This window comes from Homo sapiens, chromosome 15 (genome assembly GCF_000001405.40).
Source record: "Homo sapiens chromosome 15, GRCh38.p14 Primary Assembly".
Lineage (NCBI taxonomy): Eukaryota > Metazoa > Chordata > Mammalia > Primates > Hominidae > Homo > Homo sapiens.
In genome coordinates this window covers 89,471,010-89,497,568 of record NC_000015.10, presented here as the reverse complement: position 1 = coordinate 89,497,568, position 26,559 = coordinate 89,471,010, and the positions used below count along the sequence as shown (strand labels likewise).

At 52.1% G+C, this 26,559-nt stretch overlaps 1 protein-coding gene across 4 annotated transcripts, besides 3 other annotated features; it reads left to right on the top strand.

Moving 5' to 3' along the window:
• The first annotated feature begins 985 nt into the window (after nt 1-985).
• RHCG (Rh family C glycoprotein) lies at nt 986-26,162 on the top strand. 4 transcript variants are annotated; one of them, NR_110261.2, is made up of 11 exons: nt 986-1,208; nt 10,584-10,770; nt 14,352-14,502; nt 17,161-17,308; nt 18,081-18,247; nt 19,595-19,732; nt 19,992-20,052; nt 20,363-20,487; nt 20,741-20,814; nt 24,706-24,847; nt 25,714-26,162. NR_110261.2 is itself a non-coding variant. In NM_001321041.2 (11 exons), exons 1-10 carry the CDS (start codon nt 1,025-1,027, stop codon nt 24,832-24,834), a joined length of 1,440 nt encoding a protein of 479 aa, NP_001307970.1. In that variant the 5' UTR covers nt 986-1,024; the 3' UTR covers nt 24,835-24,847; nt 25,714-26,162. The 4 variants fall into 4 exon arrangements, 3 of the variants coding, with proteins under 3 accessions (NP_001307970.1, NP_057405.1, XP_047288607.1); NM_001321041.2 differs by having other exon boundaries at nt 19,916-20,052; NM_016321.3 differs by having other exon boundaries at nt 19,916-20,052; nt 24,706-24,858.
• Nucleotides 5,190-5,695: an enhancer, noted in NCBI's record as "H3K4me1 hESC enhancer chr15:90035105-90035610 (GRCh37/hg19 assembly coordinates)". NCBI's record gives its function as "activates a minimal SCP1, AML or CMV promoter by ChIP-STARR-seq in naive H9 embryonic stem cells {active_cell/tissue: H9 hESC(naive)}" and the evidence as "EXISTENCE:reporter gene assay evidence [ECO:0000049][PMID:30033119]".
• Nucleotides 10,481-10,981: an enhancer, noted in NCBI's record as "H3K4me1 hESC enhancer chr15:90029819-90030319 (GRCh37/hg19 assembly coordinates)". NCBI's record gives its function as "activates a minimal SCP1, AML or CMV promoter by ChIP-STARR-seq in primed H9 embryonic stem cells {active_cell/tissue: H9 hESC(primed)}" and the evidence as "EXISTENCE:reporter gene assay evidence [ECO:0000049][PMID:30033119]".
• Nucleotides 10,797-10,856: a silencer, noted in NCBI's record as "silent region_6799". NCBI's record gives its function as "represses an Ori minimal core promoter by ATAC-STARR-seq in GM12878 lymphoblastoid cells {active_cell/tissue: GM12878}" and the evidence as "EXISTENCE:reporter gene assay evidence [ECO:0000049][PMID:35858748]".
• Nucleotides 26,163-26,559: the final 397 nt, after the last annotated feature.

The following is a 26,559-nucleotide window of genomic DNA, read 5'->3' as shown; positions in this document are numbered from 1 at the left end:
AAGAAAAATTAGAAAATCAAATTTATTTTGACAATATACAGACTAAGCAGACAATATACAGACTGTTATACTGCTGAACAGAGAAACATGGGGATCATTGGCCTCCCAGTGAGATCAGAAGGAATTCCCAGACCTAAATATTATGGTTAACTCATGTCAAGATCACAGATCTTAACCAGAAGACAGTTCCTGACTATGGACCAATGAACTTGTGAAAAACTCTTAAATTGTTCTTACAATCCTTTATACGTGTTTTTTTTCTTAAAACCCTTGTATTTTGGAATAATTTTAGATTTACAGAAAAGTGGCAAAGACAGTCCCCATATAGCCCTTACTCAGTTTATCCTACTGTTAACATTTTACATAACCATGACATTTGTCCCAACTAAGAAAACAACATGGGAACGTCACTATTAACTAATTTTCAGGCTTTATTTGGATTTTACCAGTTTTCCAATTAACATCCTTTTTCTGTTCCAGGGTCAAGTCTGGGGTAGCACATCACAGATGTCTCCCCAGGCCGCTCTGTTGTGTGACAGTGTCCCAAACATTCCTTGTTTCTCATGTGCCCTGTATGAATTTCATAATCAGAAAAAGAAAGGACAGATGATGATGCAGATGATGATGGCAGATGATGATGATGTTGATGATGATGACTTAGGTCTGGGAATTCCTTCTGATCTCACTGGGAGGCCAATGATCCCCGTGTTTCTCTGTTCAGCAGAACAAAAGGAGAAAGGCCCCAGTATCAACGGGACACACAGAATTTGGGGCACCCTGATCCTCCTGCCCACTGCCTTAGCCTCTGCTCCTGCCGCTGTCCCCCAGCCCGACGCGGGGAATCTTTTGGGGCCCTCGGCTTGGGTTGGGCCCCTGCCAGTTGGGCGAGCGCGCGGGCGGTGCCCGAGTCAGCTGCTCCGTGCCCCACGTGGCCGCCCCGCCCCCCTGCCCGGGTCTCAAAAGCCCCGCCGGCCTCCGAGCGTCCGAACCGCCCGCTGCCAGCCCGGCCAGGCACCCCTGCAGCATGGCCTGGAACACCAACCTCCGCTGGCGGCTGCCGCTCACCTGCCTGCTCCTGCAGGTGATTATGGTGATTCTCTTCGGGGTGTTCGTGCGCTACGACTTCGAGGCCGACGCCCACTGGTGGTCAGAGAGGACGCACAAGAACTTGAGCGACATGGAGAACGAATTCTACTATCGCTACCCAAGTAAGTCTCGCCGCCTGCAGGCCCAGCGGAGGCATATCCGCGCCGGTCCCCACCTGGCCAAGGGCTCGGCCCAGAGCTGGGCAGAGGAGGGGATCTACCCTGCAGCCGCGGACTCCGCATCTCGCCGGCCTCTGCAGGGCATGCGTGGGAAATTGTCAGATGTGCACAAACTCCTTTTCCCCGTGAAAAACTAGTAGGGAAAACACCGGGATGAGGTTTTTATTTGACCGCCCTCCCAGCCGTCAGAGCCCCCCAACATCCCTGTCAGAGAGCCCTGCTTGGTATACTAAGAAGATCCGAGTCCTCTCGCCCCATTACCAACCAGTGGATGACCTGGCTCCCTTGTCCAGAGGAGCGCTTACTCCAAATAAGCGCCAGCCCTGCTGTGGGCAGAGGTGTTGTGGGACCACTGGTGGGCCAGGAGGCCAGGACACCCACCCCCTTTTAGCTTGGAGAGGGAAAACAAGCGCCCCTGAATCTTCTGGTGTCAGCGGTGCTGTGGTTAAGAGCATGACCCTACAATCACACACCTCCCTTTCTCTCATGCTCTCGTGGCTCTTGCCACAAACCAGGTGGCTGGCCTCAGGCAAATGCCAACCTTCCTAAACCTCAATTTCCTCATCTACAGAATGAAGATAATGGTAGGACCTCCTTCACAGGGGTTGGGGTGAGGCTGTGGCGAGGAAGTGCATGTAAAGCTCTGGCAGAGTTGGGGTGGGATCCTTTCTTCATAATGGAGCAATTGCTACAAGAGCACCAAACACAGGTGCCCTAGGACTCAGGAGCAGGGAGAGCTAGCCCAAGGTCACTCTGAGCTGCCCGACCTCTGGACTCCCAGCCTGGGGCTCTTCCCAAAATCAGAATGCCCTTGTACTTTCTGATTTTCCACTCCATCCGCCATCAGCCAATGAAAATTATTCTAGCCGGTGGTGTTCATGTAGTCATTGACTGTTAGCTTTGAAAGGGACCCTAAAGCCCCTCTCCAGCAGCCGCCTATATCAACTGGTATTCCCTCCACACCTTAGACATTCTCGGCAACAGGGGATTCTCTATCTCCAAGAAAACAACTGCACACTTTCAGAATGGCAGCCTGCATGAAAAAAGACTGCGTTTGGGGGGCTGCAGGCTTGGTGGGAGCCAGCCATATTAAGTGGCTGCCAAAAAGTTAGGGCTATCATGGGCTGCATTTAATAGTTACTTGGTGCCTAGAAGGGAAGTAACAGATAAGGGGTGCGCCCCCTGCTGGGGAGACCACAGTTTCTCCTGGGCTCCATTTAGGGCTGTTTTTTAAAAGATATCTTAGACAGCTGCAGCCTTGGGATTCAGGCTCCAAATCCACTGTTCACATTGTCCACCTTTCCTCTCCTCAAGGGGGGGACTTTCCAGCAAACAGTGAGGCAGGCAAGCTTGAGACCCTCCTTTACCTGTTCTTCTCCCTCCCTCCCGCACTTGCTTCCCACTTGACCCCAGAGCATAAGGGGCAAGAACTCCCATGGGCGTTCACAGGTCCTCAATGTGTCTGGGGAGTGGAGGACCTCAAGACCTTAAATAGGCTGGGTGCGATGGCTCACACCTGTAATCCCAGCATACTTTGGGAGGCTGAGGTGGGAGGATCGCTTGAGCTTGGGAGTTTGAAGCTACAGTGAGCTATGACAGCACCACTGCACTCCAGCCTAGGTGACAGAGTGAATCTCTATCTCTCTCCCTTTCAAAAAAAAAAAAAAGAAAGAAATGAGAGAGAGAGAGAGAGACCCTATAATAGGAGCTGCAGAACCTCACCAGTGGGGAGGTACAGTCCTTACATCTCCCCAGCTCTTATCCTCCTCGCACCACACTTGCCCACCCACCTTTCACACCCCAGGTTAATGTGTTCATGCAACAAGTGCTTATCTGTAGTGTGATCATACAATTTATCATCATCAGAGGACACCTCTGAGAGTGAAGGTGGTGCTGGTAGTAATTTGCTGGGACCCATGGATAAGCCATGACTGTCCTGGCAAATCAGGGCTATGGTCACTCTGGATAAATAAGTTGAATATCCTGGGTCTCTGTCCCCAGACTTTTTGGAAGCAGAGAGGGGCACCGTGGCACCCAGGGCCTCAGTGGGACCAAGTGCTCTGAGCAGAAGTGATCTGTGATGGCTTCCTGGGAAGTGGTGGATGGTGAGGAGGGGAGAAGCCGAGCAGCCAAGGGGGCCACTAAAAGGGGGTGGTGTTGCGAGGAGGGGCAGTGGTTCTGTGTGGCCCAAGAGTAGGGTTTGTGAAAGGGATGGGGTAAGGATGCTAACAGGGGGAGAGCCCCAGCATCAAGGAGGGCCTTGAGTTTCCCCTGCTAGTTCTCCTGGAGAGCTCTTGGCCAATGGAGCAGGAAGCAACAGAGGAGAGGGGTATAGGGGAAGAATCTTGGCAAGAAGTAGTGGCCACCCCTCCAACCGCACGTGCATTCTCTCCTTTAATCATCACCACCACCTGTGAGGGAGGTGGTGTGATGACCCCCATTCTACAGATGAGGAAACTAAGGCCAGAGCGGAGAAGTGTCTTGCAAAGGTCACTCAGCTGGGAAACCAGGGAGCGAGAGGAGCAGCCCTGGGGTCTGAGCCCACACTCCTGGCCCACTCTCCTCCCTAGTCTCAACCTTCCCCCTTTCCCCCGCTCCACTCACCGTGGCTGTGGTTAGGAGTTAGAGGGCACAAGGCTTCCTGGCCCATGTGAGTCCCCAAGCCTGGGTTCCTGGGCAGCGAGGTGATTCCTAGGGGATTGGGGTGAGGGCAGGCTCCAAGGTGCCTTCCCTGTTCCTGGATCCAGGCCATCAGCAGCTGTGCAGGCCTCGTTTCTACTCAGGGGATGAGTGAAGCCTGCTGGGCATCTCCAGTTTCCGGAGGAGTCCAGCTCCAGTTGGCTTGGCCCGAGGGTAGCTCCCCAGGCATGGGCCCTGCAGCAGGTAGCAGGCATGGAGCCAGCTGGGGACTCACGTTGGCAGTGCCCTCGGAGGCCCGTGATGCAGCCAGTGGCTGTGGTTGCTAAGCACGCAGCTTCCCTGTGGGCTGGTGCTCCAGGGTCTGGGTGAACCGCTGAGGGCAGTGGCTTCAGGGAGGCTGGCCCAAGGAGGAGCCACCAGGGCTTGGACTCCAGAAGCTCCCTGGAAGACCAAGGGAGGAGTGGGACACATTTCGGGAGATGACCCAGGGCGGAGGAAGCTCTGGTTTCAAACACCGGGAGGACTGTGTCATGAGGCCGAAGCAGGCTCCATTTGATAAAGGACGAGCTTACCCACAGGCAGAAGGCAGTGGAACTTTAGAATTAAACAGATCCCATTCGGGTGCATCACTGCATGGAGGAGCCAACCACCTCGCCACAGTGAGCCTCAGCATGCCCATCTTAAGGTAGAAATGTTATTTAAAGTACAGGATCTCTAAGAAGACTCAAGATGACAGGTGACTGGTAGGGCACTCATCTCCTGGCATAAAGGGAGAGGACAGTAAATGCTGCCACTGGGCTTCCCCAGAAGGGAGTAAGTGCTCCTTCCATGAAGGTGTGTAAGTATCAGCACCTTGTTAGAAACATGGTGGAGTCACCTCTCCCTATATTAGTTGGAACTATTATAGCATTTAAATTCTTTTGTGCACTTCCCAATCACAAAATGCTTTTTGCCTGCCCTGTCAGGTGGGGCATTTATAATTTCCATTTTATGATGGAGGTAATGGAGGTTCGAGAGGAGCTGGACACTCTCAGCCAGCCAGTAGCACAGGCAGGGTCAGAGCCAAGCCCCCACCCCAGGGCCTACCTGCTTTCCAGGGTCTTCTGTGGCATTGCTGCCCCCTGACCATCTCCCCAGGAGATTTTGCAGTGTTGATGTGGAAGAGGTGGGCACGGAGTCTTGGGGGAATTGGGGAACTGGCCAGTAGGTCTCAAAGAAAACAGTTAGGCTGGGCTGCGAATGGGAGGGGGAGGGGGGCAGCACCCAGCCCCTGGAGGGCACCATCCTTCGTGTGCTGATGCAGCAGAGGGGAGGGCTGCAGAGGCCCATTAGTGTGGGACACTTTGTTCCCCTAGACTCAGCCAGCCTGGTGGGGGACTCGTCTACAGAGGGAAGCAGCAGGAGCTAGAACGGGGCTGGGGGCTGGGAGTAAGGGGAGAGGGAGAACAGCTGGGTACTGGTGCCCCCTGGAGGCCAGAGTGCCAGCCCTGCCCCATCAGGGACCTCCAGGTTGAGGAAGCCAGTTCTGGGCAGGACAGCTGGAGTCACCAAAGCTGGGGAGGGAGACTGAGGGTCAACTTTGTTGACCCTCAGCAAGTTGCCAACCCAATGCAACCTTGTCAGTCTTGAAAGAGGAAAAGAGAAATAATAACTTATATGATGGGGCAATTTCTAAAGAGCCAGCTGCCTTCGCATAGGGCTTTGATTGCGTTATACCATTACATGTGTGCTACAAAGCTCTGCAGTGAGCACTGTCCAGGGGCTGTTACTATCTCCCATTTGACTGACAAAGAACCTGTAGATCTGAGAAGTTCTGTCCTTTGCTAAAGGTCCATACGGTTTGGACCCTCAAATCGTCACTATTAAAAATCTTTTTTTTTTTAATTTTTATTTTTTTGAGATGAAGTCTCACTCTGTTGCCCAGGCTGGAGTGCGATGGCACAATCTCAGCTCACTGCAACCTCTGCCTCCCGGGTTCAAGTGATTCTCCTGCCTCTGCCTCTCGAGTAGCTGGGATTAAAGGCGTGCACTACCTTGCCCGGCTAATTTTTGTATTTTTAGCAGAGATGGGGTTTCCCCATGTTGGCCAGGCTGGTCTCGAACTCCTGACCTCAAGTGAACCACCTGCCTTGGCCTCCCAAAGTGCTGGGATTACAGTCATGAGCCACCACGCCCAGCCTAAAAATCATTTTAGGTAGCATCATACTTTATGAAACAGAAATTAATAAATGGATACATTTTGATGCTGAATTAAGACCAGTTTGACAGATAAAGAGATGGGAAGCAAGAGGACAAATTGGGGAGGTGCCCAAGGAGAAGGAAGTGGGTGTCTGTGTTCCTGACGGAGGGAAGAGAAGAAAAGAGACACCCCCAGACAGGGTGAAAAGGAGAGACAGGGCACCCACCAGAGCAGGGAGAAGAGCAGGGTGAGAGGGGACAGGCAGGGAGGATGGACCAGGAAAGCGAGGGCTCCCTGCTCCTGCTCTCAGGCCACACAGAGGCCAAGGCAGCCCTGAAACCACACACACCTTCCCCTGCAGCAGCGGCTCCCTTGGTCCTCTTCAGCTTCGCCCCTGCCAGCATGTCGCCTCTATACCACCAGGCAACTGACACCCTTCTCATCGAAAGGACCCCACTTGCGGTGATGCTGTCTTCCCCCAGGGGCTCCTCCCACCTCCCTGCCAGCGTGTCCTTCGTCTTCTCTGCTAGCTTCAAGGCACAGCCAGTTCTCAGCTTGTGTCTCTCTCTCCCTTCATTCCCACATTGCAACTCACAGCTCTATTTGCAGGCCTGGCCAATCTCAGACCTCAGCTCCAAGCCCCCACAGCCAGGCTCCATTTCTCCCCCTAACCCCCGCCCACCAGCCCAGCCCTCACCCCCCTGGTCATCTGAAATTCACCACGGCCAGGCCAGACCCAGCACCTCCCTCCCACGCAGCAACCTCTTCCCACTGCCTTGTGTTTGTCAACAGCGCTGCCATCCTGTCATCCTGCCAACTCCCCTCCCCGCTTCTGGAATTGTCATCTGAATTTGTCACCTCCCTCTCTTTCACACCTCTCTTCCAGTCTGTCACCCATCAGTTCTTCCCAGAATAACCATAATACCATTTATGGTGCTTCACATACATCAGCTCAATTTCTTCCACAACAGTTAGAAATGTGATAAACCCTGCAACACGATCATACATGAAATCATTTGCGCACATTGAGAAACCTAAGCTGAGGTGTATTTGTTCATGTAAACTCAGCACCGATGCTAAATTCAGAGGGAAGTTCAGAGCACCACCCTGGGGCAGGACCCACAGCTCTCCCACACTGGCTTGTACCCCTGCCCTTCAGTGTGCCAAGCCCCCTAAGCCTCCTCCAGGTAGCTGCTAGCTGAGGGGTCTGTGGCCTTGGCCTGGGCCTCAGGGAAGCCTGGAAGGGAAACAGATGAGGGCAGGCAAGGTGCAGGCAGCTGTGCCGTAAGCATTGCTCCTGCAGCCTTGGCCAGGCTGCAGTGGGCACCAGAACCTGTCAGCCCTCCTGGTGGGAGGCGGACTGGAGGGGGGCTGCAGCCCTTCCTGTGAAATCCCACCTGAGCTCCTGGACCACTGCTCAGCTGGCACACCTGGGTGCTTCTGAGACAATAACAATCATTCATTCATCCATAGCTATTAACTGAGAGTCGACCTTGGCACTCTCCTAGGTGCTGGGAATACCACAGTGAACAAAACAGGCATGGCTCTGCCTTCTTGGAGTTTTATAGCGTAGTGGGATAGACAAACAAATGTGTAACTTCAAATTATAACAAGAACCGTGAAAGAAAAAAGGGTGCCATAAGGGAGAGAACCTAGGAAAGAAAACAGGGTGCCATAGGGGGAGAACCTATCTTAAATGGGTGGTCAGGAAGGCCTCTCTAATGAGGTGACAATTTGCTGAGATCTGCTGGCCATTCTGCAGGAACAGCATCCCAAGTGGCAGGGACACCATAGGCAAAGACCCTAGAGTGTGGGACTGAGAAGCAGAAGGGAGGCCAGAGCAGCTGGAGCACCGGGGGAGGTGAAGATGTGGGGAGGTAGAGATCCCCTGGGAGGCAGGTGGGTGAGGGAGTAGGAATCCCCCGGGAGACAGGTGGGCGGGGCTGGGACAGGCCTGTCAGGGCCCTGGAGTCTCTTTTCCTTTTGACTGTTTACTTGGAAATAATCCCAAATTTACAAAAAGTTGCTCAAACAGAAATAGCACAAAGAAAGCTACACTCTGGCCAGGTGCAGTGGTTCACATCTGTAATCGCAGCACTCTGGGAGCCCAAGATGGACAGATCACTTGAGGCCTGGAGTTTGAGACCAGCCTGGCCCACATAGCAAAATCCTGTCTCTACTAAAAGTTAAAAAAAAAAAAATTAGCTGGGTGTGGTGGCACATGCCTGTAATCCCAGCTGCTGCAGAGGCTGAGGTGGGAGGATCGTTTGAACCCCAGGAGGCAGAGGTTTCAGTGAGCTGAGATTGTGCCACTGCACTCCAGCCAGGGCGACAAAATGAGACTATGTCTCAACAACAACAACAATAAAAGAACACCATATACTCTAACTCAGACTCAGCTATTTGCTCACTCTTTCTCTACACGGATGCACACGCACATACACACATGCACACATACACATGTGTGCTTTGTTTTTCTGAACCATGTGAGGGTCAGTCACATACGTCATGGCCCTCTACCCTTAACTATTCCAGTATATTTCCTAAGAAGGGGGATATTCTCTTCCATAACCATAGTAATCAGCTTCATAAATTTCCATTAATGCAATATCTTCACCTGTTTATATCTTATTAATATAATATCTTAATCTGTTTATATCTGATTTTCTCAATGGACCCAATAATGACCATTATAGCACTCCCCCCCCCCCATTCTCCCAGCCCCACCAAATACAGAATCCAGTCTAGAGTAAGGTATTAACTTTAATACCTTTTGTCATGTCTTTTAATCTGGAACATTTCAAAGGTCTTTTATGACTGATACTTTTCAAGAATACAGCCTTTCCCCTTGTTAGTAACATGTTCCTCATTTTGTGTTTGTCTGATGTTTTCTCATGATTAGATTGGGTTCTGCAGTCTCAGCTAGAATCCCACCTAGGGGATAGGTCCTTTTCAGGGTATCACATGTGGAGGCATGAGTGATATTAATTTTGATCACCCAGTCAATATGTTGCCCAGTATAATTACTGTTATTTTCTTCCCCTGCAACTAATAAGCAGTCTATAAGGAAACCCTTTAAGACAATGCAAACGTCCTGTGCATACTCAAAATTTCCCCCTGCATTTAGCATCCACTGATTGAATCTTTACCATGAAAATGATGATTTTCCAACTCTAGCACTTTTTCCATATTTAAGTGTAGCCTCAGCATTCTACTGTAGGCAAGAGCCCTATCTGCTACCTCATTTATTTGTTTACCAACTTATTATCAGTATGATCTCATGAGTTCCTTTTTTAATGGTTTTAATTCATTATAACACATAATTGCTTTGGTGCTCAGATTGTCCCAGATTTGGCCAGTGGGAGCCCTTCCATCTGGCCCCTGTGTCCTGTGACATCTGAGGTTCCTATTTGTGTGTTATGCTTTTGCAATTCTCTTTGCTTCTCAAAGCTCTTTGTCTTCTGTTATTTTCTTGGAGTTGAGAACCATGCAACATAAGCGCTGAGAGGGCAGTTAAGATCATCCTAATACATCCCTTTAGTTTGGTCGTTGAGAAAACTGAGGCTCTGAGAAGGGAAGTGGCTTGCCAAGGCCACATTGTGAGTTGGAGAAGACTTGGGTCAGAACTCAGAATTAGGCCATGCCTGAGTGAACATAAACAATGACATCTGCCCATTTAGATCACCTACTATGGGGTAGACACTGTGCTAGATGCTTCTTTACATACACATGTGTGTTTAATCCTCACAACATCTGTGATGTAAGCATTGCAGAAGCAGGTGCCAAGCCCCGAGTTAAAATACTTAACTTTCCCAGAGTCATCCACCCAGAAGATGGAGTAACCGGGGTCCAAATTCAAGTCTCAGGGATGCGGGGATGTGTATCTGCTGGAGTCAGTGGTGGGATATGGGGATGTGATCAGCTATAACTGATGTGCTTGGCCTGTCCAGGCTACTCCTTGGCCGGATGAGCATTGATTCTCCACAGCAAAGGAACAGGATTGCGGTGGAGAGGGCAGGGCATCATAGCCTCAGACGGTCTGGGCTATCGACCTTAGACCCTGTGTGTAACCCACACCTGGCCCCAAATTCTGATGCCCAGCTGCCACCTCCAGCCTGGGCCAGCAGAGCCACCCAGGGAGGAGGGTAGAACCAAGGAGCTGCCATCTCTCAAGGAGGGTGTTTGGGAATCTCTTGGCACTACAGCCCAGTGGTTTAAATAGGCTAAGGTGGGGGCCCACCTCGGGTCCCCCCCAGCGCCTCCCTTTCTAGAGAGGCCCTTATGAAGGAACTGGAGGCTCTGCCCGCAGCGTTACCTTGCCCAGCCCCAGGGTTCAGATGTGGGGGTGGGGGTGGGGGAACCGGGTTAGGATGGTGGAGCAGGGAGACGCGCCAGTGGCGGGGAAGACTGAGGGGCTACCCCGGCCTTCCTGGCCCAGACCCAGGGCTGGGACGAACCTTCGCCAGACCACCGAGTCCCGGGCTGCACTGTCCCCGCAGGCTTCCAGGACGTGCACGTGATGGTCTTCGTGGGCTTCGGCTTCCTCATGACTTTCCTGCAGCGCTACGGCTTCAGCGCCGTGGGCTTCAACTTCCTGTTGGCAGCCTTCGGCATCCAGTGGGCGCTGCTCATGCAGGGCTGGTTCCACTTCTTACAAGACCGCTACATCGTCGTGGGCGTGGAGAAGTGAGCGCAGGGCGGGCCCCGGGGGCGTGGCGGACTGGGAGGGATGGGGCTGGGCAGGTGAGCCTGAGGGAGGAGGGCGTGCCCATCGGCGGGACCCGGGCTTGAGGCTGGAGGGCAACTCCTCCTTTGGGCCACACTGGGCTTGCGAGACAGATACACACACACACACACACACACACACACACACACACACACACACTCTCTCTCTCTCTCTCTCTCTCTCTCTCTCTCTCTGTCTCTCTCTCTCTCTCACTTCGCTTCCTGATCAGCGATTCTCCAGGGTGGGAGTCGTCCAAGTGTCATACATAGGAGGGTCTCCCTTCCCCTACGACAAAGGCTGCAGGGACTTGAGGCTAGACTTTCCTCTGGGGGCAGGGTCCGACCGGGCCCGGCACATCAAAATCGCCCAGCCCTGTGTCCTGAGAGACCGCAGCCCACGGGACTCTGGTGGGAGAACTGGGATGTCTGCACCAGCCTCAGAGGCTCCTTGTGAAGGAAACACCGAATGGGGACTCCAGCCAAATGGAGGTACCTCTCTCCCTGCCTTGCTTCACCGCCCCCACCCACCCCAGGGAACAGGTGCTGGAAACAGCTGTGAGACAGGTGTGGGTGTGGAGTGTTAGGGCTGAAGCCCTGCCCCCTCCTCAGCTTCCACGGGTGGAGCACCCTACTGTCACTTCTCAGCTCCATCCTTCTCATGACTTCTCTATGATGACTTGGCCTGATGAGCACCACCAGCCCCTTCTTGTCAGGTGACTCAGCCCCTCCCTCTGTTCTGCAGTGACCTCCTCCAAGCCTCAACACACCTCCCCAACCCACAACACCACCAACAGGTTATAAAATAAATTCACCCAAAGCCAACTTGCCAAAAAAATCAATGGAGAAAGTGGTCAGCTCACTGAATGACTCATTTATCAAACTCTCTATCCCATGGCAACTTATGAAACCTATAGCAATTTGTGTTGCTCTGGTCCTACTCAAGAACCTTTGGGAGATTTTTCCTGCTTTAGCCAAGTTTTAGTTTATTGGAGGTTCTTCTTTAAGTCCAGTTTAGACAGACTTTTATTTCTGTAGACATATGAAAAGGTCAGCTAAAGAAAAAAAAATGTTTTCCTCCATTCTCCCATCCTTCAAGAAAAAAAATTAATTTGAGAAAAGTAATCATTGGTGTGTGAAAATGAACATTCATTAGCTCACTCATAAACTGTCCACAGAAAGGGCTTAGAGGCAAACTGGTATAAACCACCTTTAAAGGGCAAATCCCTGCTGTTACTCTTAGGATACCAACGAGGTATGATAGCCAGGTGTCTGAAATCTAGGACACATGTCAAATATTTGCAAAAAGTTACTTCATCCAAACCAGATAATTAATCCATGAATTAAGAGAAACAGGAAAGATAGTTGACTGGATATGTGTTGGAACCAGTAAACAAGTCTTTTTGTTTATAAGACCCTTGACATGCATATCACCCCGAAGTTCAAAATGCACAAGAAATTATCATTCCCAAAACCATAGATCCAAAGTATAAAAACACCTGTAATATATATCATTGGCCACCACAGCAAAATAGCTATGGCTAAATGAATTTTTTTTAATCTCAAAAAAATTCAAAGGGAATTATTACAAACCGTGAGTTAACAGGCTTTTGGTGAAGCAGTTGTTCAGCAAGTTGGTCACTTGAAAAACTGAGTTTGGACAAATTGGCTCTCAGGAGATTGATTTTTCAGCACCTGACTTGGAGCTGATTTCTGGTGCCCGGGGCTGGGATGAGCATATTGTCCCCAGACCTGACCTTGTGGATCCAGAGATGTGGACCCTCCCCCTGGCTTCTGGCCTGTCCCTGCTGAAGAGTCTTCTAAGTCCCACCTGTCACTGTAGAAAGTGCCCCTCTTCAGGCCCTGCCCAAGCTTCCTCGGCCCTCCTGAGATGTGGCATCTGGATCTCCATCTCCCAAATGCTGATAGCCCAAGGGATGGGCCTTTCTGTTCTCTCTCTCCATTTTTTTTTTTTTTTTTTTTGAGACTGAGTTTTGCTCTATCACCCAGGCTGGAATGCAGTGGTGCGATCTTGGCTCGCTGCAACCTCCACTTCCTGGGTACAAGTGATTCTCATGCCTCAGCCTCCTGAGTAGCTAGGATTACAGGTGTCTGCCACCAAGCCCAGCTAATTTTTGTATTTTTAGTAGAGATGGGGTTTCACCATGTTGGCCAGGATGGTCTTGAACTGCTGACCTCGTGATCCACCTGCCTCGGCCTCCCAAAGTGCTGGGATTACAGGTGTGAGCCACCATGGCCGGCCTCTCTCTCTCTCCTTTCTAATGGTCACTTCTATCAAGATGAATCTTCCAGCTGCAGTTATGGGATCTTGGGCAAAAAACTTAGCCTCTCTAATTCTCCATGTCTCATCTAAATGATGTGGCTAATGACAGTGCCTGTCTTGTATGGCTCAGGGATGGCACAGGAGGGCATATACAGTACTTAGTAGATACCCCAGAGCCTAGCACTTAGGAACTGCCATCGATCATTTAGCCAGGCCCTGCACTAGGCCCTGGGGACACAGCGGTGAATGAGGCAATAGTGGAGTGGACAGTCCAGTGAACTGGCCCTACAATTAGTTTCATTCTCACTCCTCACCCCATTCTCTCTCTCATACACACAGCCCTGAGCATGGAAGGGGAAGGGAGTCCTTTCTAGATGTGACAGACCCCCCACCCACCCCATCAACAACTCTCCCGGCCTAAGAGCCACACTGAGGGTCTTGCCTTGGAATCCAGAGGGCAGCTTTGCTGCTGGCAGGGGACAAGGAGGCCAGGCTTGGGCAAAGTGGGCACATGGATGGAATCAGGGTCTACACAATGTCCACTCAGCTGTCTGCCTCTTCATCAGCCCTCTGCTGGGCTGGCAGGGTGTTCAGGGTCCAGGCTTGAGCAGGACCTATGTACCTGCCCCTTTGCCTCCATCCTCCCTGCTGGCCTTCCTGCTCCCTCCTTCCATCCAGTACCACCCCAGCTCCCTCCTTCCTGCAGGAAGGCCCCCCTGTCTCTTCCCTGGACATAGATCCTCTTCATGGGTAAGGTAAAGGAAAGATCCCAATAACAAGGCCCTGGTTACCAGCAGAAGAGGTGTGTGCAGAGTGAGAGATAAGGATCTGGAGGCAGAAACTGCATCTGGTTGGAGGAAACAGGAAGACTTCCTGAAAGAGGAGGCAGTAAAAGGAGGTTCTGGAAAAGCAGGTAGAAGCTACAGGGCAGGGAAGGACCCCAAATATGGGGCATGTTCAACAATAGCAACCAGACCACATGGTGCCCTGAGCCCAAGCTGTCTGCAAGCAGCGGGGGCCTGAGATGGGCTGCATGGGAGGTGGGCATCTGGTGTGTGCTGCTGTACTAGTCCTGTCTCGTGTGGTTTCTTTTCATTCTTGGAGTAGCTCTAAATGTTAGGTGCCCATTAGTGTAGATGATGAAACTGAAGCTCAGAAAGGTTAAGCCACAAGCCCAAATCCATATATGACCAAAGTCCAGGGCCTCCAGTGCCACTTTTTGCTATTGCCCCAGCTTCTCCACTGGCCTGTCTCCCCACAGCCTCATCAACGCTGACTTCTGCGTGGCCTCTGTCTGCGTGGCCTTTGGGGCAGTTCTGGGTAAAGTCAGCCCCATTCAGCTGCTCATCATGACTTTCTTCCAAGTGACCCTCTTCGCTGTGAATGAGTTCATTCTCCTTAACCTGCTAAAGGTGAGCAGGGCTCAGAATGGGGATGAGGTGGTGGGGGTGCTTTGGGGGACAGCAGGGTATGGAGAAATAGACAGCTGGGGAGACATGCCAGCCTGGCGAGTCACTTAACTTCCTGAACGTCACTCAGTTTTCTCATCTCTAAAGTGGGAGTAATAATATCTACCAGGCAGGTACTACAGTCCACCTAGCCCATCAATCCAGCACGTGGACAGAGCAGGGCTTCCTTGAATGTTGTTTTTTTCCCCCTCCTTTCTTTCCCACACATCACATGGAATGAATAGGATATCCCTGCACATACTCTTGCACACATACCACATTTCCAGATTCCTCTGCCAAGAAAAGGAATCCGGTGTATTGAAGGGGCAAATCTGTAGGACAGGATCCCAGGTGAATGGCCAAGGTGGCCATGGTGTGTACGACACAGCACCAGAGCTGCCATTCACATGGGCCATGACAGGAGTGCTGCTCCCTCGGGGAGGTCAATTCAGTGGCTCAGATAAGAGGCACCTTAGACCTCTGACTCTATCTCAGAAGCCTCCTTGGTGCCTTTGGACAGTAGGGGATCTCACGTAGAAACTGCACCCTTTTCTTAGCACCCTCCTCTTCTACGTTTGGACTCTGTCTGGAACTCCCCCTCCTTGGCAGGGAGTGATTTAGGTCACCCTAAATTCAGTCATTCATTTTGTAATTTTTTTCAGCTACCAGATTAGTCCAAGCTACCATATCTCTTCCTCCTGACTCATCTCCCCGGCTGCATTCTTGCCTTCCTTGCCCCTAAGGAAAGTCATCTTCAGCAGCCAGAGTGCCCTATAAATAATGCATAGAGAAGAGGCCAGGCACTGTGGCTCATGCCTGTAATCCCAGCACTTTGAGAGGCTGAGACAGGCGGATCACCTGAGGTCAGGGGTTCGAGACCAGCCTGACCAACATGGAGAAACCCCGTCTCTACTAAAAATACAAACTTAGGCCAAGCACGGTGGCTCACGCCTGTAATTCCAGCACTTTGGGAGGCCGAGGCAGGCAGATCACCTGAAGTCAGGAGTTCGAGACCAGCCTGGCCAACATGGCGAAACCCTGTCTCTCCTTAAAATACAAAAATTAGCTGGGTGTAGTGGCGCATGCCTGTAATCCCAGCTACTCTGGAGGCTGAGGCAGGAGAATCGCTTGAACCCAGGAGGCACAGGTTGTGGTGAGCCGAGATCACGCCATTGCACTCCAGCCTGGGCAACAAGAGCAAAACTCCATCTCAAAAAAACAAACAAACAAACAAAAAAAAACAAATAAATAAATAGTGCATAGAAGACCATTCACCCACTGAAAATCTATCAGCAGTTTTAACATTTCATTCAGGAGAAAATCCAAACTTGTTATAAGGCACTTCCTGTTCTGGCGCCAACTTTTCTCTCCACATGTTGTCTACTCTCTCCCCATCTTATTGTCTACTCTCTCCCCATCTTCCTGTGCTTTGTCATACTGTGCTGTCTGCTCTTCAGGCACAAAGCTGGGTCCCACATCAAGGCCTTTGCAATTGCTGTTCCCTTTGCCTCCAAGGGTCATCTCTCAGTCCTTTGCATTACTGAATCTCAGTATGCGTATCCCCTCTTTTTTTTTTTTTCTGAGATGGAGTCTCACTCTGTTGCCCAGGCTGGAGTGCAGTGGCATGATCTCAGCTCACTGCAACCTCTGCCTCCCGGGTTCAAGCGATTCTCATGCCTCGGCCTCCCAAGTACCTGGAATTACAGGTGCACACCACCATGCTCAGCTAATTTTTGCATTTTAAATAGAAACGGGGTTTCGCCATGTTAGCCAGGCTGGTCTTGAACTCCTGACCTCAGGTGATCCGCCTGCCTTGGCCTCCCAAAGTGCTGGGATTACAGGCATGAGCCACCACTGTGCCTGGCTTACCCCTGTTTTATAGATGAGAAAGCTGAGGCTCAGAGGGGTTAAGGGGCTCACCTAAGGTCACACAGCTAGTAGAGGCATCTGCTAGGCTGGGAGTCGAGAATCCCAGCCCTGTCAACAACCAGTTCTATGACCTTGGATGACACACTTACCTCTCTGGCTGGGTTTCCCCCATCTAAAGTGAAGGAGTGAGTCTGTGATTCTATTCATCTGAAATTGGTTCTAGGTGGGGAGGAAGGAGGAGGTAAAAGAGAAGGAGAGGTGAGTGTGAGGGGGACAAACATCAATCTGGCACCTGTTAAGTGCCAGGCCCTCGCCAGGGGCAAGTTGCCTGCATGAATCCTGACAACAGCCCTGCTAAGGCACTAGCAGGTGGTGTAAATGCAGAGCTTGTCAAATGAGAGGCACAGAGGTGGAAACCAGTGGGTGACAAAGCAGGTAGGTTGTTTCCCTCAGTTCTGCCTCTGCCTTACCTCCTCCAGCAGTATGAGCAAGTCTGTCTCCAGGCCTGGGTTTCCCCATCTGGGAACAACCAAATCTGCTGGGTGAGGACACCCTGGCATTTTGCTGATGGGAATCCCTACCTTCTCCCCATTACCAGTTGATTGGTCCGTGAAGGCCCCAGGCTCCATCCTGCACCCTGAAGAGTCCGAGAAGGCTGGAGCTCTGGGCGTGTGTGTGTGTGGCAAGACAGGGACGGCAATGAGGAGGGAGGGAGAGAAGGTGCCAGAGTCTGACAGGCCCCTTGCACCCCAGGTGAAGGATGCAGGAGGCTCCATGACCATCCACACATTTGGCGCCTACTTTGGGCTCACAGTGACCCGGATCCTCTACCGACGCAACCTAGAGCAGAGCAAGGAGAGACAGAATTCTGTGTACCAGTCGGACCTCTTTGCCATGATTGGTGAGAACTGCCATCATGACCGAGGGCCACCATGATGGGTGAAGGTGGCCATGATGGGTGAAGGCAGCCATGATGGGTGAAGGCCACCATGATGGGTGAAGGCCACCATGATCAGACCTGATCCCCACGTGGTATGGTGCATGGCTGCCAGTTCTTTTTGGGGGAAGGGCAAACAGAGTTTGCCTATAGATACTTCTAGAATCCCATATGTCTGTCCCCCTTCCCCATGAAGCTGAAAGAAGTTGGTCACTCATCCTGTATTTCCCCTAGAATGCCCCAAGGCAGACACAGTGGTAACCAGGAGCTGCTCACTCCATCCCCTGGGCTAGGGCAAGATGTGCATTTCCACTTCCTGTGTCCATTCATTCCAGAGAAGACACTGACCACAGCCATTCTGGTCTCTCAAAACCCAGCCCTGCCCTCCAGGAGCTCCTCACAGCGTAGTGGAAGAGAAAGCAGTGCCATGTGGAGGATCTCCCTACAGTAGAGAAAAGATTCTCCCTCCTGGCGCTGTGGGAACAGGGTGGGGGCATTTAGCCCAGAAATGGGGGTCAGGGTAGACTTCCTGGAGTGGTGTGGAAGGCTAAGTGGGGGGTAAGGAAGGCAGGGAGGGCCTTCCAGGAAGAGCCCCTGCATGACTAAAGCTGCAGAGGTGGAAACAGCTGGGTGTGGGGTCATCTCTAGAGCTAAAGGACAGGATGCCTGCCTGAGCTGTGGGGCTGTATCTAATGCCTCTCCTCCCGGGCCCATTGGGCCTGTCTGGTCTGACCAGGCACCCTCTTCCTGTGGATGTACTGGCCCAGCTTCAACTCAGCCATATCCTACCATGGGGACAGCCAGCACCGAGCCGCCATCAACACCTACTGCTCCTTGGCAGCCTGCGTGCTTACCTCGGTGGCAATATCCAGTGCCCTGCACAAGAAGGGCAAGCTGGACATGGTGAGCATGAGGGCGTTGGGGGTGTGGCTCTGACTGCCTGGGCCTGGAGGGCGCTGATCACCATGCCTTGCCAACACCTCTGAGGGGATCATCACACCCATCTTGCAGATGAGGTTGGGGGAGAAATGATTTGTTTTGAGCACATGGCCAGTTTTCAGCAGCACCCAGAGCAAGGATATTCTTTATCTTGTTTTTTTTTGTTTTGTTTTGTTTTGTTTTTTTGAGATGGAGTCTCGCTCTGTCACCCAGGCTGGAGTGCAGTGGCGCTATCTCGGCTCACTGCAACCTCTGCATCCCAAGTTTAAGCAATTCTCTTGTCTCAGTTTCCCAACTAGCTGGGACTGCAGGTGCAGGCTACCACGCCCAGCTAAGTTAGCTAATTTTTGTATTTTTAGTAGAGATGGGGTTTCACCATATTCGTCAGGCTGGTCTCAAATTCCTGACCTCAGGTGATCCACCCACCTCAGCCTCCCAAAGTGCTAGGATTACAGGTGTAAGCCACTGCGCCGAACCTATCTTATAATCTGACACAAGCGTCTTGACGTGGGCATATGTGTGCTGAGACACTGTCTGGAGTATCGATTATTTGGGGACACTATCACCATGCAGAGAGGTGGGGATTCAGGCACCTGGGGAAGAGAATCAGACACACAGACTGGCACACCTGTGTGTATCCACACCCACCTGCAGGAAGGGACATGGAATAGGGTCAAGGACAGGGACTCTGGGGCCACACAACCTGGATCAAGACACCTTTCTGCCTCTTGCTAGCTCTGTGGTCTTGGACAAGTCATTTAACCCCCCTCACCTCAGTTTCGCCATCTGCAAATGTTGCAAGATAACTGTCCTCACCTTGCAGACTTGTTGTAGAGATGGAAAGCGCTAACCCCTACAGCCAGCAGCACGGTACCTGGTACAGGTTAGCATTCAGACAGCAGCAGCTGGTGCGTGCCTATGTCTAGACCCCATAGGCACTTGACGTGGACTTGCATCCATGGCAAGAACGTTCAGACATGCTAGTCTGGGCACACAGGTATACATGGTATACATAAAACAACAGTGTGCTTGTTGTCAGGGCTCACCAGCAAGTGCACCAGCACATGGAAAATGCCCAGACCTACTAGGCGGGATGGGTGGCATGTGCAGAGAGGCACAGGGAGCAGCTGTAGCAAGCCTGGGTGGGGCTGAAGTCCTCTGCAGGCTCCTGGCTTGCTGAGGTGAACTCCCAGCCATCCCCGGCTCCCAGGAGCCAGGCTGCACCCTTGCACAGCCAGCAAGTGAGCTCCTCCAGGCCCGGTGCTCCAGGGAGAGGACTGAGTTCCTGCCTGCTCTGCCTGCCCTGCCCAGGTGCACATCCAGAATGCCACGCTCGCAGGAGGGGTGGCCGTGGGTACCGCTGCTGAGATGATGCTCATGCCTTACGGTGCCCTCATCATCGGCTTCGTCTGCGGCATCATCTCCACCCTGGGTTTTGTATACCTGACCGTAAGTGCCCCAGGCAAGGGGCTGGGGGCTAGAGAATGCTGAGGTCTTTGTGTTCCTGACAGTGAGCTGAGGGTTCCTAGGGAGGGGGCTGAGGGCTAGAGAATCCTGGGTCTCTGGAATCCCGGCCTCCCCACACCCTTGATGCAGCCCCCGGCCTGAGCAGCACCCACCTCCCGTCTCCAGCCATTCCTGGAGTCCCGGCTGCACATCCAGGACACATGTGGCATTAACAATCTGCATGGCATTCCTGGCATCATAGGCGGCATCGTGGGTGCTGTGACAGCGGCCTCCGCCAGCCTTGAAGTCTATGGAAAAGAAGGGTAAATGTGGAGGAGGTGCGGTGGGATGGAGCTTCCCCCTTCCTTCTCCCATCCCTTCTTCCTGCTATTCCTCTGGGACCCGACTGCATCTTTCTCCCTTTCCTTCCCCACTCTGGACCAATTGTTTCATGGGTCTCTCTCCCCAAACTCTGTCCCTTAGAGTTTTAGAGGCCAACTGATATGTCCGGTGTCCCCATGTTGTGGGTGGGAAGGCTGAGGCCCGTGGTACCCGGTCACATTTTTGGGGTGGCAGCAAGCTGTTACTTGGCCTCTCCATGGGGCCCTGACCTGCCCCCTGTCTCCACCCCAGGCTTGTCCATTCCTTTGACTTTCAAGGTTTCAACGGGGACTGGACCGCAAGAACACAGGGAAAGTTCCAGATTTATGGTCTCTTGGTGACCCTGGCCATGGCCCTGATGGGTGGCATCATTGTGGGTGAGCAGGAATGGCTGAGCCAGAGAAGGGGGGTGCTGCTGTGGGGCTCCCTGGGTGGAGAAGCAAAGGGCATGCGGCACAGGTCAGCCTGAGCCCCCAGGAATCCCTGATCTCTGCACTTCTGGCTACAGGACTGGGACAATTTGGAACTCAGCCCAAGGGCCCCAGGAGGATTTTCCCAGCTGAGGGAAATGGCTGGGGTGAGCAGAGAGAAGGCACTTCCTGACATCCTGTAATCTCCAACTTTCTGTAGGGCTCATTTTGAGATTACCATTCTGGGGACAACCTTCAGATGAGAACTGCTTTGAGGATGCGGTCTACTGGGAGGTGAGTTCCAGGGACTTGGCCCCCTGAAGGAGGGCAGCTGCGTTCCCTCCCTGCCTCCACTGCATCAGCTGGGCTGGGGCCTGGGGACCCAGATGCCGGGGGTGGGGGTCAGAGCCTACATTACCCTACTTCTTCATCGGGGGAGGCTGTGTCTCATGGAGGTTGAAGACTCTTCCCTCTAGACCCCAGGGCTTGGAGTGGGTGATGTGTACCTCTCTTTCTGCACACCCTAGAGGGGGTGACAGAAGCAACCTATAGTCAGGGCTACAGCTGGAGTTTACTCTTGTCCCTAAAGACTCAGTCAGCTTTATTCTAGAGCAGTGGTCCCCATGGTATGGTGCCCGGCACCATCAGCATCACCTACAGACTGGTTAGAAATGCAAATTCTCATGGGTGCCGTAGCTCACAACTGTAATTCCCACACTGGAAGGCTGATGCAGGAGGACAGCTTGAGCCTGGGGGTTTGAGACTAGCCTGGGCAACATAGGGAGACTCTGTCTCTACAAAAAATAATAGAAAACTTATTCAGACATGGTGGAATGCGTCTGTAGTGCCAGCTACTCTGGAGGCTGAGGCAGGAGGATCGCTTGAGCCCAGGAGGTGGAGGCTAAAGTGAGCCATGATGGCGCCACTGCACTCCAGCCTGGGCAATAGAGCAAGATCCCGAGAGAGACAGGGAGAGAGAGAGAAGCGGAGGGGAGGGGAGGGAAGGGAGAAGAGAATGAGAGAGAGAGAGAGAGAGCGAGAGCAAGAGAGAGAGAGAGAAATGCAAAGTCTTAAGTTCCTCAGACATCCTGATTCCAAAACAAGGGGGCGGGCCCAGCACTCTGGTTTAACAAGCCCCAGGTGGTTCTGATGACAAACAAGTCTAAGCACCACTGTATTTGAGCAGCGGTTTTCGCGCTAAGATGCACACTGGAATCACCTAGGGAGCTTTGACAGCATTCCAAAGCCCAGGCCCCAGCCCACAGAGACTTGGATTTAACTGCTCTGGGGTAGGGTCTAGACATTAGAATTTTTTTAAAGCTTCCTCGGGGATTCTAACACCCAGCCTGGGTTAGGAATCACAGTGCAGTGCTCAGCTTCAGTCTCCATGAGAACCACCTGGAGACCTTCCCAGGCACCACCCCAGAGGTTCTGATTCAGTAGGGACCGGGACTCTGCAACTGACAAGCTCCCAGGTGATTCCAATACAGAAACTGAGTTCTGGACTGGGCGCAGTGGCTCATGCCTATAATCCCAGCACTTTGGGAGGCCGAGGCGGGCAGATCACCTGAGGTCAGGAGTTCGAGACCAGCCTAGCCAACATGGCAAAACCCTGTCTCTACTAAAAATACAAAAAAAATTAGCCGGGCTCAGTGTCTCATGCCTATAATCCCAGCTACTCAGGAGGTTGAGGCAGGAGAATCACTTGAACCCTGGGGCGGGGGGGCAGAGGTTGCAGTGAGCTGTGATTGCGCCACTGCCCTCCAGCCTGGATGACAGAGTGAGACCAAAAAGGAAGAAAAAAAAGGAAGGAAAGAAAAGAAGGAAAAAGGAAGGAAGGAAGGAAAGAAGGAAGGAAGGCAGGCAGGCAGGAAGGCAGGCAGGCAGGAAGGAAGGAAGGAATGAAGGAAGGCAGGCAGGAATGAATGAAGGCAGGCAGGCAGGAATGAATGAAGGCAGGCAGGCAGGAAGGCAGGAAGGCAGGCAGGAAGGAAGGAAGGCGGGCAGGAAGGAAGGCGGGCAGGAAGGAAGGAAGGCGGGCAGGAAGGAAGGAAGGCAGGCAGGCAGGAATGAATGAAGGCAGGCAGGCAGGAATGAATGAAGGCAGGAAGGCAGGAAGGCAGGCAGGCAGGAAGGAAGGCAGGCAGGAAGGAAGGAAGGCAGGCAGGAAGGAAGGCAGGCAGGAAGGAAGGCAGGCAGGCAGGAAGGAAGGCAGGCAGGAAGGAAGGCAGGCAGGAAGGAAGGCAGGCAGGAAGGAAGGAAGGCAGGCAGGAAGGAAGGAAGGCAGGAAGGAAGGCAGGCAGGAAGGAAGGCAGGCAGGAAGGAATGAACGAAGGCAGCAGGCAGGCAACTGAGTTCTGCAGCATCCCACCCCTTTCAGCAGTTGAGGAACATTGTTCTAGATATGAAAGTGGTGGAATGTCACAGAACTCAGTTTCCTTAAAAACATGCCACAATCTGGGCTTTCTGTGACTTCAGGCTGGCCTCTCCCCATGAATCATGATTGGAGGTGCCCACCTGCCATTGGATGATGCAGGATGGCAGGACTCCCCTCATGCCTCCTGCACTGTCCTCTCATGACAAGGGTGAGGACCCGCCTGTGTCTGTGGCTCCTGGGACAAGGGGCCACCCATAATGCCTTTCACTTAGCTCTGTATTTTTAAAACCATACCAGAAGTTTTAAGGGTAATTTTAACTACTATCTACTATAAGGTAACTTCATGCACATAACGAATGTCTCTTAAATTAACTCTTTAAAAATGTTTTTAATTAAAAATGACTAGGCGCTCATTAAAGAAAATCTGGAAATACAGTAAAATAGAAATCCTGTCACCCTATGTCAAGCAATATTAATATTTTCTGGTATATTTCCTTTCTATCTTTTTTCTCTGCATAGATTTTTCTTACACGGTTGAAATTGTATTATTCACCCAATTTAGTATCCGTCTCTTTCTCCTTACCACTCTATCATAAGAATTGTTCTGTGTTATTACATTCCTAATAAACTTTCTTTTCTCACAGGATAATTATTTCTATTCTATATTTAAGAAAGTCAGAACTTAAACTATTTTAGACACCACAATTAGAAACCAACAGATTTTACGCTAACGAAATAAATCAGAAATGTTATCAGTTCCCCCATGTAGAAGTTCCCTCTTGGTTCTGTTTTGATCTTTATAATTTATTCCAAGTTCACACCTCTCAGCTCTATATACCTTGAGCAGTACAGACGTCCCCCAGTAACCTCAGGGGATTGGTTACAGGATCTCTTGCGGGGATGCTCAAGTCCCTGATATAAAATGGCATAGTATTTGCATAAAAGCCTACATGTATCCTCCCACATATTTTAAGTAATCTGTAGATTACTTGTAATACCTAACACAATGTAAATGCTGTATTGTTTTTTGTTTTTATTATTTTTATTGTTATATTGTCATTTTTTGTTGTTGCTTTTTCTAAATATTTTCAACCTGTGATAGGTGTAACCTGCTGATACAAAACCCATGGGTATGGAGGGCTGGCTGTACCTGGTTGGGAATAACAAAATTCTGTGCCAATGGAAGGAACACTATCAGGCAGTCCCTGAGGCCCTGAGTGGTTTACCTTGGGAGTGAGGTGGCTTCTCAGAGGATGGGGATTGGACCAGTGTTCCCCAGGACCACAGATGGGGCAAGGGCAGGGCTGACCTGCCCTGCCTGCCCTCCACCTCTCTACCCACTTCTGGCCTTCCCTGCACCTTCCCCACCCCATTTTCGGACCTGTCTGCAGTTTACAGAGCTTGCCATACTACCTTTTACCGCCTCTGCCCCTTACTCCAATTCATCTTTTAAAAGTGGGTTCAGCACAACTTCTCAGCATCCCCCAGGCTGGGTTATAAGCCTGTTGTGTGCATTTGCAACTCTTACTGTCACTGGGTATTTCACTGCAATGCCTCACCATTGCTCTCATGGGGCAAGGACACTGTCTCCTCCTTGCCATGCCTCAGCACCCAGGACAGTGCCTAATATAGGGTAGGGGCAGGACTCCTGTGTTGAAGGACCACCCTGCTCTCCGTGGCATGTGATCCGCACGGCGATCACAAGGTGGCGCTCGCCACACACCATTTGCAGCTCCAGGTTCTAGTCACCAGGGACACCCTTGCCTGGACTGGGACAGGGCCCTCAGAGTTGCATCCTCTCTCTGTAGATGCCTGAAGGGAACAGCACTGTCTACATCCCTGAGGACCCCACCTTCAAGCCCTCAGGACCCTCAGTACCCTCAGTACCCATGGTGTCCCCACTACCCATGGCTTCCTCGGTACCCTTGGTACCCTAGGCTCCCAGGGCAGGTGAGGAGCAGGTGAGCATGGGCTTGGCTTGGGGGATGACAGGGAGGTTCTCCCAGTGGGGGCCCAGCTCTCAGAATCAGATGTTACTAGCAAAGAGGCAAAAAGCAAACATCAAGAAATGAGGGCTTCCACCCCTCCTGCCTGAGGTGCAGTGGGCACATGGGGTTGGCAGGGGAGCTTCTTAGAGTCAGACAACGTGCATCCAGGACAGACACAGGAACAGGTGAAGGCACAAGGGCCTGGAAGGAATATGGAAGGAGACCTGGGGGCACACTTGGCTTTGTGACTGTGCCTGCTGGTGTGTGACTTTGAGAATCTCTTCACCCCAGAGACTGGGCCTCGATTTCCTCATCTATAAAAATGAAGCTGACACGTCTGGTTGTATTCAGTTGCTCAGCTCAGATGAGACCCACCCTCCCCTCTTTCTTTCCGTCAACTAACACTGTGCCTCCTCTGTGGAATGCACCAAGCCCTTGCTCATGGCTTTCACATCTAACCTTCCCAAGATCTCTACAAGGCAAGTAGAATTACTGCCCTCATTTTAATAGATGAGCAAACTAAGGCTCGGAGAAGTTCAGGTTCTTCAAGATCACACAACTAGCAAGTGGAGAAACTGGGGTCCTTGCTGGTCATTGTTACTGTTTTTATTATTGTTATTTAACTTCCTTGGAGGCCAGAGCTTGGCAATAGCTGGGTCTGGGGCCTGAGTGATGTGGCAAGAGAGGATGTTAGGGTGCCAGGAAAGAGGAAGGTGAGGCTATGCCCAGTTGCCTTTAATGTCCACCCCATCCAGAAAAGAAAATGGTGCCTGAGAGGCTACAGCAGGACCCGGCAGTGACCCGCTGCTCTTGGCTGTCTCCCTGCAGGCTCCACAGACTGTCCTGGGGCCCAGAGGAGCTGGTGCTGACCTAGCTAGGGATGCAAGAGTGAGCAAGCAGCACCCCCACCTGCTGGCTTGGCCTCAAGGTGCCTCCACCCCTGCCCTCCCCTTCATCCCAGGGGGTCTGACTGAGAATGGAGAAGGAGAAGCTACAAAGTGGGCATCCAAGCCGGGTTCTGGCTGCAGAAGTTCTGCCTCTGCCTGGGGTCTTGGCCACATTGGAGAAAAACAGGCTCAAAGTGGGGCTGGGACCTGGTGGGTGAACCTGAGCTCTCCCAGGAGACAACTTAGCTGCCAGTCACCACCTATGAGGCTCTTCTACCCCGTGCCTGCACCTCGGCCAGCATCTCCTATGCTCCCTGGGTCCCCCAGACCTCTCTGTGTTGTGTGCGTGGCAGCCTCCAGGAATAAACATTCTTGTTGTCCTTTGTAAAATGGTGTGAATGCTCCAATGGGGCCAGTTTGAGGGAGAAAAGGACCCAAGAGACCTGCTTCTGCCCCAGCCCTTACCTTCATCCAAGGGTACCACCCACACTGCGAGGAAAGTCATTGCAGGCTGAACAGGCAGAACTTGGGTACTAGAGCCTGCCTTCAGCCTGGGGCACCCAGCAGGGCTCAGCTCTGGGCTGGGGTCTTGCTTCAAGGCCCCTCCATCAGCTACTCCAGAAACTCAGCCCTTGAGAAAGCTGGCATCTCTGTTGTGCCCTCCATGTGGTCCTGCTCTGGGCACTCCAGCAGGACTGCGAGAAGGGAGGGAGGGCTCCTTTGGGCCCATCTCCTCCTCCCCATCCCTTCCCTTCTTTCTCTCTGCCAAGCCAGCCTTCTTTTCCCT